Here is a 14,137-nt window from a genome sequence, read left to right as displayed (position 1 = left end):
GTGAGCCAAGATCGTGCCACTACACTCCAGCCTGGGTGACAGAGCGAGACTCCATCTCAAAAAATAAAATAAAATAAAATAAAGGCAACAATTTAAATATTTTTACCTTTGTTGTCTATATAATATTTTGAGGGGGAGTTTCCTAAGAAGCAATAAAAGACACATTAAAGGAAAGGCAAATACATTCCATCTATTTGTGTATTATCATCGCCGAGGCTCCTCTGCTTTAATTAATTATCAGTACAGAAAATCATATTAGGTTGTATTTTTGGAACAATAAATCCTCCAAGAGAATCCACATTGATGAAATCTGAGGGGCACAGTTGCAAAGCTCACTCTATCGTATTCCTTAAGGGAAAAGAAGATTTCTCAGTGTTTGCTATTTCTGAATCAGTTGCCAATGTTTGGTGCACTTTGTTTCCTGACACACATTTCCTTAGTGAGTGGCAAATTACGCAATGACAAGATTATGTTGCTGTCCTCCCCGGGAAGTCTGTGGAGCCAACACTTCATGCATCTCTGACTGGAATCTAAGGTGGCTTGGGAACATAATAGCACCATTTAGTGGCAAAATGATTTTAATCTTTAAAAAAGGTGGCATGGTGTTTATTAGATCATTTTAAGAGCTATAGATTAGTCAGCCATAAATGTACTATGTAGGCATGAATCAGTTTTTCTTTCTTTCTTTTTTTGTATGTATCACTTTTAACATCTCATGTATCTATGGATAACAGGTTCTCAGGTGAAGCGCCAAGTATGTCACTGAAAGCCCAGTGGAGTTAAGTGTGCAAAGTCAGTCTGAACATATGCTGTAATGGATTTGACCTCGAATAGCACTACAAAGAGAAATTGCAGATAACCATCTGAACTGACTTCTGAAGCTTGTAGTTCTGGCTCCTGAGATACAGAGAGAAAAGTGAGACCAAACAGGTGGGAGCAAACAACTCAGAGAGACCAGAATGAATACGAGTCTAACTTTAAAAGTAAATAAAATTAAATAAAAATGATTTATTCTATAGCTCTTTGTCTTTTATTGGTTCCCACACAATGTCCACACAATAAACAGTTTTCAGCACATGTTATACTTTTTCTGATCACATTGGTGTCTGTTAAAATAAGGCCCAGCACTTTGGGAGGCCGAGGCGGGTGGATCACGAGGTCAGGAGATCGAGAACATCCTGGCTAACACGGTGAAACTCCGTCTCCACTAAAAATACAAAAAATTATCCGGGCGTGGTGGCGGCACCTGTAGTCCCAGTTACTCCGGAGGCTGAGGCAGGAGAATGGTGTGAGCCCGGGAAGCGGAGCTTGCAGTGAGCGGAGATTGTGCCACTGCACTCCAGCCTGGGTGACAGAGCAAGACTCCTTCTCAAAAAAAAAAAAAAAATGAAATCAGTGAAACCTTAGACTTTAAGTGTTACACAACATAGAGGTGACTGAGTCTTACCCACTACCCCGGGGGAAAAAATAGTCTTAACAACAGTAATTTTGGCTAAGAAATGAATGCTTCCTGTGATGGGCATCTCAGTAGTTTATGGTTGGTTACTATTTAAAATTGCAGATATTATGAGATATTATAGTAAGCATTACTTATGCCATTTTTTGCCATGGCCAGCCTATTGATAGCATCTACACTACTTTGACTGCCGAGAGCTACTACTGTATATGTCTGAAGTCTTTATTTTGCATAGTCCTTTATAATCAATAACTAGTATTTGTTATATGGTGAGCTAGACTAAAGTCTGAAGCATGTGGTCATGAAACAGCTTCAAGCTAAGTGGCTTACCAGGCATTCAGATCTGCTACCTTGATCTTATGTTACCCAAACCTGTAGACAATATGCTCTAATCAGCTAGGCCATAGGAATTTTGTATAGACTCTCACCCATATGAACATAAACATACACACAAAGGCCTCCCTATTTGGAAAGTTATTCAATGGTACTAGAAAAGGGACTATAGAGATCATATGGATTATGTGATTTTGGATTTTGCTATTCTATGTACAAGCATAAATGTACATTGTAAAATAAAGAATAATGGAAATATAAGAGCAAAAGTTCCAGGAACCATAGAAAACAGGGAGTTTTACCAGACAAGGCAGAGATACATTAATTACATTGATTTAACTTGAGGTTACAATGAACTTTGATTTTTTACTTTCTTTTAGAATTGTTTTCTTTTGTAGTGAAATGGCTAGGTTTTCACATGAAACATTTTTGAAATCATTTGTTACCTAGATGCAGCAATACATTCTTATAAGTATCAAATTATGTGCCAGTAGTTATGGCTGCTATGCTGAACAGTTATTTCTAAGTAATGCTTGCAAAATACTCTACTATGTAATTCGTTCCTGTAGTTGTAGACCTACTGATGGCACCCTTTAGAAAAATGTTTCTTTACAATTAACTCCCATGGTGAAGATGGAGCAAAATGACTTCCAAGTCATCTTGTATTGTCTTCCTCTTTTCTGCTGGGTTTTTCCCTCCTGTTGTTTGCAGTCTGAGACCAGTGGAAATATAAGATCATGCCAGACATATGATGATGCTAAGAGGAGGTACTGTTGCATGTATGCAAAATGTCAAGCCCTAAGCTGCCAGGTTTGCATCTTGTTTGCAAATGATATAGAGCCAAAATGCTGAGTGTGCTATTGTAGGCCTGAACTTGCTCTAGCTAAAATAAACAGATAAAATAAGTGGTAGCCTGGAATATAGGGAACGTTTAATATAACTGCCAACAGAAATATTCAATGCTATAAAACTACAATGTGAAGGCAAACATATTTATAATGGACATTATTTGGATAATTTTTTTGTGTTTCTTGCTCTAATTTTGGAGACTCAGAGCAAAGAACAGACAGTATGTAGACAAGCATCTGAAAGTGATAGTTTCTGTTTGTTTTTTCACATGTCTGAGAGTGAAGCGACTCAGCCCCAATCATTATCATTTTGCTGGTTTTTTAAAAGTGCTTTTTCTTGTTTTATGGAACATGCAGAGCTAAGTGCAGCAGCATGAGTGACACTGTGCCATGGGGTGGGAAGTTGAAGTCATTGAACACTCTGAATTCCCTCAGTGTGTCTCAGTGGCAGAACCCCTTGTACTAAATATGTGTGTGCTGTTCCACTGAGAAAATGTTCAATAACATTCTGTGTTTCTCATTTCATACCTATGGAGAAGAAGCTCAGTGGCTGCCTGTTGAGTTTCATTGTGGAGTACAGATGGTCTGGTTCAAGGTTCTTTCAAAGGCACACAGAGAAAGAAGTGATGTTTCTGCTTATTTTTCTAAAATTATGTGCATTTTTTGTCTTAAAATGTATGCTTTGCACAGTCAAATATGATATTGTTTTAATTTTACTGTATGTAGAATACATGAAAACTTTAACAGTTCTTCTGAAGAAGTAGACATGAGGACTGCCTTCTGCCAGTCAATCAAGTAGTGTATATAAAATCAATTGTTGTATTTTCTCTAGTCTCTTCTGGGTAAATGCTGAGTTTATATATAATAAGAATATATATAGTTGCACTTGCATTGTGACTTTTTCTAAATGCAGCTAAGTATCTCTTGACTGACTGAATTATCTCCTTTGAGGATATTGTTAGTGAATGCCTCAGACTGTGAAAGTAAAGGAATTAGCAGAAAGATAAAACTATATCTTAATAACATACAGACAATATTTTAAAATCCTTCAAAACATTAGGAAAAGTCCTTGGAACAATTAGATAGTTGACATTTCATAACACATTTGTTAAATGGTTAAGCACTGAATGGAGAAATGTCCCTGCTGTTTCATAAGCAGTTTTTGGCAAATGATCTCTTTCCCCAAGTTATACCTGTGTCCAGCCTTACACTTGTCAGGAGACTATATCTTTCAATGGACTTTTAGCTGGTAAGGGGATATTAACCTCTTTTTTCATTATGTAAAAAATTTCTTCTCTTCAAAGCAGAGAAATGGTATGCAGTTGACTTTAGCTTTCTTGCAAGAAAAGTGTGATGGTGTATTGTGTTAGAGGATATGTAAATGGAACTTGAAAACTCACCTGTGAATTTAACTATGAACACTACTTGAACTATCTGCAATGGCTTGAAAAGAAAATCATGACAACTGAAACTGAGAATGGAAAAGGAAAAGTGAAAATACAAACAAGGTAAAGGTGGGAGTGCAGCTTTAAATGGAGAACCACACTGTAATATAAAGTGACTTCGCTGAGTCCATTTCCTTTCTGAAAATAAGCTTCTATTTCATATGTAATTATTAAATAAAAAATAGAGCAAAAAGGGGAAAAGCAGTTTAGGTTCTGGTCATATGTCAGAACACATAAATGCCAACCCAACACAAAACAAGCAGACAGATGACCTCTTGCCCTAGATTGTGGTAAGTTATTTGTTTGATAGATGGTTTTGAGTTCACCAAACTGATGTTTTTGCATTGTTTATAAAATACATTCTATTTAAATAGGAAATATAGACAAGCTGTTTAGCAAAGTACTTCGGAATATCTTGAAGCTACATCACAAATTAAGATATTCAGTTTTTTTTCTCCTTTTGGAGGAGAATGTTCTAAATACAAAATTGATGAGAATGAGATTCTTATGTATAAAATAAATTTGACTTGAAAGGAATCTCTGCCCTCAAGTGGAGTTGAGATTTGGGTTTATTAATATAGAAATTACCTTGAAGCCAGGCGCAGAGTTTTTAACCACATCAGTCATTTACGAAGTTAATGATAACATGCTAATAAATTGCTTGTAAGGGGAAGCTTTGTTCAGAAAGAAATAAAGAAAGAAGAAACACTTTAATGATTTATGTTGATCATGGAAAAAAATGTTCCTACAAGGATTGAACGACATTGGCTTAAAAAAATAAGCAGAAGTTAATAGACTCAAGGATAAAAAGCAAAAATAAAAATGCAGGATGCCTGGCTAGGAATGAGCATGATACAAAAAGAATTGGCTGCTATAATCGACCAAAAAGTATGTTCAGATATATGAATGTGTTTGACTCTTTTTAGATTTACTAGATTAAAAAGTCAAATAATAGATTTGTGAGTGTAAGTACAAGTTATAGTCATCATTGGTGAGCTGTTGTGAAAAAACAAATCCAGTATATTCCTAGCTTACATTAAGGACAGAAGAGAAAGAGATGGGCCTGAAAACAATCTATCTTGACACCAGTCAGAAAGTTACTCGGATGTTGTGCTTCATCTTGTTTCATATGCTTTTAAAGTCATGTGGCTAAAGGAAATAAGTTTATAAAAGCATATCATAGATGTTAAAGTTTGGAAAAGGGTCAATTGGGTTGAAATTGTTAAGTGATGTAGAGTTTTTATGAGGTAAATATATGGTAATTGTTTCTGACATCCATAAGCTGAACTACTCATTAGTTAATAGTACGTTTATGGAAGGCTAATACATGGGCACTTTGCCAGGTATTACATGGGGTTCAGAAAAGTCTTAGCGGTCTTTGTTGCAGAAGAAGTTTGCAACCTACTCATGGAAGACATACCAGGCATTAAAAAATTAACGATAAAATAAAGTGATGTGGCTATTGATTATAAGAGACATAGAATTTGACAAGAAAAGGGGTATTAGTATGATTTGCTGGAGAGGGCTTCTTAGAAACTATGGTTTATTTGGGTTTGCAAAATAAGCAAGACTTGGGAGGAGAGTTGAGATGAAAACATTTTGGCGAGAGATGCAAGGTGCGAGGAATATGTATACAGACAAAGGAGCGGAGACGGTTGGCGAAGAGTGCAAAATGTTTATTTTGGTTTCAAACTGATAGAAATACAGTCCTGAATTCTGAAAGTTTCATATTTATTTTTGTTGGGATTGCCACATTGTGTGGTAGATAAATATATATGTTTGGCAATGCTGAAGTTAAAATGAAGAAAATTCTGGTCTCAATATTTTAAGATTAGAAATGACCTTAAATATATGTCAACTTCTCATTTCACGTGTGAGATTTAAAGAGATGAAGTTAATGATGAAGGTTACCCATCTTGTCAATCCTAGGATGGGGATAAAAGTCAGATCCCTTGATTCTAGGCTGGTGTTATTTTTGCTAACATCGCCTGAGTTTTTTGTATGAAATAAAATGAAATGACAATTTTGATCCTGTTTTTAAAGCCTTCTTTCGTACTTTTGAACCAATTTTTTGAAATTTACTGGTTACCATCCTTGGAAAACAAGTCTGATGAAATTTACAAGCAATTGCTGATCATAGGTGTTTATGCATTAAATCCATTGAGATTACTCGGGGGTGAAAAGTTCCTTGTGTCGTTAGTGATATTCTTTTTTTTTTTTTTTAATTTCATTACACTTTGGCATTTATTTATTTATTTTTTTACATATTTATTTATTTATTTATTATTATTATTACTATTATTATTATATATATATTTTTAATTATACTTTAAGTTTTAGGGTACATGTGCACATAGTGCAGGTTAGTTACATATGTATACATGTGCCATGCTGGTGCGCTGCACCCACTAACTCGTCATCTAGCATTAGGTATATCTCCCAATGCCATCCCTCCCCCCTCCCCCCTCCCCACCACAGTCCCCAGAGTGTGATATTCCCCTTCCTGTGTCCATGTGATCTCATTGTTCAATTCCCACCTATGAGTGAGAATATGCAGTGTTTGGTTTTTTGTTCTTGTGATAGTTTACTGAGAATGATGGTTTCCAATTTCATCCATGTCCCTACAAAGGACACGAACTCATCCTTTTTTATGGCTGCATAGTATTCCATGGTGTATATGTGCCACATTTTCTTAATCCAGTCTATCATTGTTGGACATTTGGGTTGGTTCCAAGTCTTTGCTATTGTGAATAGTGCCGCAATAAACATACGTGTGCATGTGTCTTTATAGCAGCATGATTTATAGTCCTTTGGGTATATACCCAGTAATGGGATGGCTGGGTCAAATGGTATTTCTAGTTCTAGATCCCTGAGGAATCGCCACACTGACTTCCACAATGGTTGAACTAGTTTACAGTCCCAACAACAGTGTAAAAGTGTTCCTATTTCTCCACATCCTCTCCAGCACCTGTTGTTTCCTGACTTTTTAATGATTGCCATTCTAACTGGTGTGAGATGATATCTCATAGTGGTTTTGATTTGCATTTCTCTGATGGCCAGTGATGATGAGCATTTTTTCATGTGTTTTTTGGCTGCATAGATGTCTTCTTTTGAGAAGTGTCTGTTCATGTCCCTCGCCCACTTTTTGATGGGGTTGTTTGTTTTTTTCTTGTAAATTTGTTTGAGTTCATTGTAGATTCTGGATATTAGCCCTTTGTCAGATGAGTAGGTTGCGAAAATTTTCTCCCATGTTGTAGATTGCCTGTTCACTCTGATGGTAGTTTCTTTTGCTGTGCAGAAGCTCTTTAGTTTAATTAGATCCCATTTGTCAATTTTGGCTTTGGTTGCCATTGCTTTTGGTGTTTTGGACATGAAGTCCTTGCCCACGCCTATGTCCTGAATGGTAATGCCTAGGTTTTCTTCTAGGGTTTTTATGGCTTTAAGTCTAATGTTTAAATCTTTAATCCATCTTGAATTGATTTTTGTATAAGGTGTAAGGAAGGGATCCAGTTTCAGCTTTCTCCATATGGCTAGCCAGTTTTCCCAGCACCATTTATTAAATAGGGAATCCTTTCCCCATTGCTTGTTTTTCTCAGGTTTGTCAAAGATCAGATAGTTGTAGGTATGCGGCGTTATTTCTGAGGGCTCTGTTCTGTTCCATTGATCTATATCTCTGTTTTGGTACCAGTACCATGCTGTTTTGGTTACTGTAGCCTTGTAGTATAGTTTGAAGTCAGGTAGTGTGATGCCTCCAGCTTTGTTCTTTTGGCTTAGGATTGACTTGGCGATGCGGGCTCTTTTTTGGTTCCATATGAACTTTAAAGTAGTTTTTTCCAATTCTGTGAAGAAAGTCATTGGTAGCTTGATGGGGATGGCATTGAATCTGTAAATTACCTTGGGCAGTATGGCCATTTTCACGATATTGATTCTTCCTACCCATGAGCATGGAATGTTCTTCCATTTGTTTGTATCCTCTTTTATTTCCTTGAGCAGTGGTTTGTAGTTCTCCTTGAAGAGGTCCTTCACATCCCTTGTAAGTTGGATTCCTAGGTATTTTATTCTCTTTGAAGCAATTGTGAATGGGAGTTCACTCATGATTTGGCTCTCTGTTTGTCTGTTGTTGGTGTATAAGAATGCTTGTGATTTTTGTACATTGATTTTGTATCCTGAGACTTTGCTGAAGTTGCTTATCAGCTTAAGGAGATTTTGGGCTGAGACGATGGGGTTTTCTAGATAAACAATCATGTCGTCTGCAAACAGGGACAATTTGACTTCCTCTTTTCCTAATTGAATAGCCTTTATTTCCTTCTCCTGCCTGATTGCCCTGGCCAGAACTTCCAACACTATGTTGAATAGGAGCGGTGAGAGAGGGCATCCCTGTCTTGTGCCAGTTTTCAAAGGGAATGCTTCCAGTTTTTGCCCATTCAGTATGATATTGTCTGTGGGTCTGTCATAGACAGCTCTTATTATTTTGAAATACGTCCCATCAATACCTAATTTATTGAGAGTTTTTAGCATGAAGGGTTGTTGAATTTTGTCAAAGGCTTTTTCTGCATCTATTGAGATAATCATGTGGTTTTTGTCTTTGGCTCTGTTTATATGCTGGATTACATTTATTGATTTGCGTATATTGAACCAGCCTTGCATCCCAGGGATGAAGCCCACTTGATCATGGTGGATAAGCTTTTTGATGTGCTGCTGGATTCGGTTTGCCAGTATTTTATTGAGGATTTTTGCATCAATGTTCATCAAGGATATTGGTCTAAAATTCTCTTTTTTGGTTGTGTCTCTGCCCGGCTTTGGTATCAGAATGATGCTGGCCTCATAAAATGAGTTAGGGAGGATTCCCTCTTTTTCTATTGATTGGAATAGTTTCAGAAGGAATGGTACCAGTTCCTCCTTGTACCTCTGGTAGAATTCGGCTGTGAATCCATCTGGTCCTGGACTCTTTTTGGTTGGTAAACTATTGATTATTGCCCCAATTTCAGCTCCTGTTATTGGTCTATTCAGAGATTCAACTTCTTCCTGGTTTAGTCTTGGGAGAGTGTATGTGTCGAGGAATGTATCCATTTCTTCTAGATTTTCTAGTTTATTTGCGTAGAGGTGTTTGTAGTATTCTCTGATGGTAGTTTGTATTTCTGTGGGATTGGTGGTGATATCCCCTTTATCATTTTTTATTGTGTCTATTTGATTCTTCTCTCTTTTTTTCTTTATTAGTCTTGCTAGTGTTCTATCAATTTTGTTGATCCTTTCAAAAAACCAGCTCCTGGATTCATTGATTTTTTGAAGGGTTTTTTGTGTCTCTATTTCCTTCAGTTCTGCTCTGATTTTAGTTATTTCTTGCCTTCTGCTAGCTTTTGAATGTGTTTGCTCTTGCTTTTCTAGTTCTTTTAATTGTGATGTTAGGGTGTCAATTTTGGATCTTTCCTGCTTTCTCTTGTGGGCATTTAGTGCTATAAATTTCCCTCTACACACTGCTTTGAATGCGTCCCAGAGATTCTGGTATGTTGTGTCTTTGTTCTCGTTGGTTTCAAAGAACATCTTTATTTCTGCCTTCATTTCGTTATGTACCCAGTAGTCATTCAGGAGCAGGTTGTTCAGTTTCCATGTAGTTGAGCGGCTTTGAGTGAGATTCTTAATCCTGAGTTCTAGTTTGATTGCACTGTGGTCTGAGAGATAGTTTGTAATAATTTCTGTTCTTTTACATTTGCTGAGGAGAGCTTTACTTCCAAGTATGTGGTCAATTTTGGAATAGGTGTGGTGTGGTGCTGAAAACAATGTATATTCTGTTGATTTGGGGTGGAGAGTTCTGTAGATGTCTATTAGGTCCACTTGGTGCAGAGCTGAGTTCAATTCCTGGGTATCCTTGTTGACTTTCTGTCTCGTTGATCTGTCTAATGTTGACAGTGGGGTGTTAAAGTCTCCCATTATTAATGTGTGGGAGTCTAAGTCTCTTTGTAGGTCACTCAGGACTTGCTTTATGAATCTGGGTGCTCCTGTATTGGGTGCATATATATTTAGGATAGTTAGCTCCTCTTGTTGAATTGATCCCTTTACCATTATGTAATGGCCTTCTTTGTCTCTTTTGATCTTTGTTGGTTTAAAGTCTGTTTTATCAGAGACTAGGATTGCAACCCCTGCCTTTTTTTGTTTTCCATTTGCTTGGTAGATCTTCCTCCATCCTTTTATTTTGAGCCTATGTGTGTCTCTGCACGTGAGATGGGTTTCCTGAATACAGCACACTGATGGGTCTTGACTCTTTATCCAACTTGCCAGTCTGTGTCTTTTAATTGGAGCATTTAGTCCATTTACACTTAAAGTTAATATTGTTATGTGTGAATTTGATCCTGTCATTATGATGTTAGCTGGTGATTTTGCTCGTTAGTTGATGCAGTTTCTTCCTAGTCTCGATGGTCTTTACATTTTGGCATGATTTTGCAGCGGCTGGTACCGGTTGTTCCTTTCCATGTTTAGCACTTCCTTCAGGAGCTCTTTTAGGGCAGGCCTGGTGGTGACAAAAATCTCTCAGCATTTGCTTGTCTGTAAAGTATTTTATTTCTCCTTCACTTATGAAGCTTAGTTTGGCTGGATATGAAATTCTGCGTTGAAAATTCTTTTCTTTAAGAATGTTGAATATTGGCCCCCACTCTCTTCTGGCTTGTAGGGTTTCTGCCGAGAGATCCGCTGTTAGTCTGATGGGCTTCCCTTTGAGGGTAACCCGACCTTTCTCTCTGGCTGCCCTTAACATTTTTTCCTTCATTTCAACTTTGGTGAATCTGACAATTATGTGTCTTGGAGTTGCTCTTCTCGAGGAGTATCTTTGTGGCGTTCTCTGTATTTCCTGAATCTGAACGTTGGCCTGCCTTGCTAGATTGGGGAAGTTCTCCTGGATAATATCCTGCAGAGTGTTTTCCAACTTGGTTCCATTCTCCGCATCACTTTCAGGTACACCAATCAGACGTAGATTAGGTCTTTTCACATAGTCCCATATTTCTTGGAGGCTTTGCTCATTTCTTTTTATTCTTTTTTCTCTAACCTTCCCTTCTCACTTAATTTCATTCCATTCATTTCATCTTCCATTGCTGATACCCTTTCTTCCAGTTGATCGCATCGGCTCCTGAGGCTTCTGCATTCTTCACGTAGTTCTCGAGCCTTGGTTTTCAGCTCCATCAGCTCCTTTAAGCACTTCTCTGTATTGGTTATTCTAGTTATACATTCTTCTAAATTTTTTTCAAAGTTTTCAACTTCTTTGCCTTTGGTTTGAATGTCCTCCCGTAGCTCAGAGTAATTTGATTGTCTGAAGCCTTCCTCTCTCAGCTCGTCAAAATCATTCTCCATCCAGCTTTGTTCCATTGCTGGAGACTGGAGCTGTCGTTAGTGATATTCTTAAGCGGTCTGAAGGCTATCATCAGAGCAAAGAAAAATTATTTTTACATTTTCTTTATTGACATATGTTGACCTTTTAATCCCACTGATTGACAAAGTCACTGAAGATATGTTCTTTCTTCCGTGGCTCCTAGCCCTGGCTGGCTTCCATATTCATGTCAAAGGTGCTTTACATTCTGCTGCTGCTACCATTTTCTAGCAGCTGGCAATGTGCTTGTCTGTCCATTAGTGGTTTGGAAAATGATTAATAAGCTCCCCCACCCCACACTGAAAAAGGGGAAGCTCCAAATCATTCATAAATGCACAGGGATGAATTTATGCACAGGAGACAGTGACCTCCTTTGGTACAGTGGCCCCATGGGCACCTAGCAACTGAAATATATGTTCTCATGCTAATGTGGAAAACCTGAGAGACAATGCAAAATTCAATTTCACTTATCAATGTGTACACTTATAAATTGTAATGTTATTTTTTACAACTCAAATTAAGGCTAAGAGATATAATGGACTACCTTTTAAGGTTTTTGAGTGGGTTCAATTTTTATTTATGTTACTAATGCCAAACATTATTCTAAGACTCATTCCCTCTTGAGCCTGTCCATCCATTATGTGACCTGAACAACCTTCCTTATTCCTTCTATATTTATAGAATTTTCTTTCTTGGTTGAATTAAAAAGAAAAAGAAAGAATAAAACAGCCTTCTTTTATTTAAGGTGACTAACAGACAACCATAATTATATATATATGATCATATATATATATATGGTGTTCTTTCTGCTAACACCTGCTGAGGCCATAATTTTATATATAATTATATTAATTAAATATATGATTATATAATTGTATATAATGCATAATTATACATAATAATCTCTCCTATATATAATAATCTCATTCATATATATATATATATATATATATATATATATATATATATATACATATATAGGAGAGAACTGTTCTTTTCCCAAGACACATCATATCCTTAATTAATATAGGCCACCTGGGGCATTAATAAGTATTTTGCATTAAAAGAATTGAAAACAGAAGGTAAACATTAGGAAAGGAGGGTCACAAAGTGAATGGTTTCAGGAATAATTCTAAAAATATCTTAAAACTATAAGAGCAGTCATATTTATAAAGCACCCACAAGATATTGTTTTATTTTGAATTAGATTAAGTAGTTTGAAATTTTTTACCACTGAACCACTTGGAAAGTCATCATTTTTAAAATTTAATTCACTCCAGTTGGCTAAATCACTTGATTGCTCTGTATTCTTTAAAGGTGCAATAGTCATCACCATTTGATTCAGTAAAAAGCAAAATCCTTGAATAGATGAGATGGAGCCATCTACAAATTATTCATTAAATGACTGAATTATTTTTGACTTGATTGATTTAGTATCATTTTTATTCAATTTTTGGGCTTCTTTAAAAAGAGTCAGGATGGTGTACAGTAGAAGAAATATCAAGCTGAATATTGAATTTTTCTCCTGATTGTTTAGTTTTCTGGAAGATCTTGGCTGAATTTCAAACCCCAAGTTTCCTATCTGTAAAGTAAGAGCAGAACAACATAATATAAATATCTATAAAGATAAAATAATACACATAAAACATTTTGAACTTTAAGATGTTATAGATATTTATTTCATTGATATTACAAGTATCTGAATTAGTTTCAGAACCTTTTTTTCTGTCATTTTTTTCCACACTCTAATAATGCTTCTTTGCAATGCCTATGTTTTCTTCCTCTTGTTTTTCTCAACCACTTTGCTTCCTGGTTTTTTTTTTTTTGCCTTACTTTTACCATTTGAAGCTATGAGGTTTCCCTATGAATATTGTACTGCCTATGTGCTCGTTGCCTTCTTCATTGTCAGGGTCATCGTTAGCGTCCTTAAGGATGGTTTTAAATTTTCTTTTATGGACATTGGTATATTTGAACTTTCCATTTTTTCTGTAAGATATCATTATATACTATATATTTGAACTTCTTTTGTGTATGTGCATCACATCCAACTATGGTGTGTGGGTGCAGTTAGGGAAGGAGAGTATGTTTTATGAGAATTTGAACTTCTCTATGTTAGACATTAATGAGTTTAGTAAAATGCATTTTGGAGTTCAAAGATGGAACCAATTTTTAGTAAAGTTGTGAAATCATGACTCTCTGGAAGGCCTAGAGATGAGAGGCAAGTCTGTAGGTTCTGGCTCTTTGGTGACCCCATGAACAATAGCCACAGTGATTGTGCTTGTGGTGTACATTCAGCACACGTTTTCTGTCTCCCCATTTAGCCTTGACCTTTGATCTTTTCTGTAACAGAACTAAATATGAGCATGTTGTCTGACCTCTCTAGGAGAGGCACTGAGGAGCCACAGGGAAACTAACATAGAGATTTATCCTCATAGCACCTCTTTGTTGATCTTGTGGCTGCCCTGATTAAACATAGTATTTTTATTTATGAAGAGCTGTTATGGAGACATTGTTTATTAATTTAAAAATATTTATTGAAGATCTACTATAAATAAATCACTGTTCAAGTGCTAGGAATACTTTAATGAAAAGGGAGGCATGATTATAATCTGACAGGACTACCCTTAGTTTTGTTCCTTTGGGTATAGGTCATGAAGACTAGGGAAATCATAGGACCATTGCTTGCAGGAGGTCATTTTCA

General features: G+C 36.5%; 1 long non-coding RNA gene across 1 annotated transcript in view, besides 2 other annotated features; it reads left to right on the top strand.

Annotated features, from left to right (window-relative positions):
* The window catches only part of LOC105377918 (uncharacterized), a 64,633-nt gene extending 63,615 nt beyond the window's left edge, over positions 1–1,018 (top strand). Inside the window, exon 5 of the long non-coding RNA XR_001744272.2 lies at positions 735–1,018. This is a non-coding gene — a long non-coding RNA (uncharacterized LOC105377918). The remainder of the gene's footprint in view (positions 1–734) is intronic.
* Positions 737–937: a silencer, noted in NCBI's record as "peak5987 fragment used in MPRA reporter construct". NCBI's record gives its function as "represses an SCP1 promoter by STARR-seq MPRAs in K562 erythroleukemia cells {active_cell/tissue: K562}" and the evidence as "EXISTENCE:reporter gene assay evidence [ECO:0000049][PMID:32103011]".
* Positions 13,630–13,924: an enhancer, noted in NCBI's record as "tiled region #11207; HepG2 Activating DNase matched - State 9:DNaseU". NCBI's record gives its function as "activates a minimal TATA promoter and a strong SV40 promoter by Sharpr-MPRA in HepG2 cells {active_cell/tissue: HepG2}" and the evidence as "EXISTENCE:reporter gene assay evidence [ECO:0000049][PMID:27701403]".

This window comes from Homo sapiens, chromosome 6 (assembly GCF_000001405.40).
Source record: "Homo sapiens chromosome 6, GRCh38.p14 Primary Assembly".
NCBI classification, from domain to species: Eukaryota; Metazoa; Chordata; class Mammalia; order Primates; family Hominidae; genus Homo; species Homo sapiens.
Note: the sequence above shows the minus strand (reverse complement) of the source record. Positions and strands in the feature narration are given on the sequence as shown.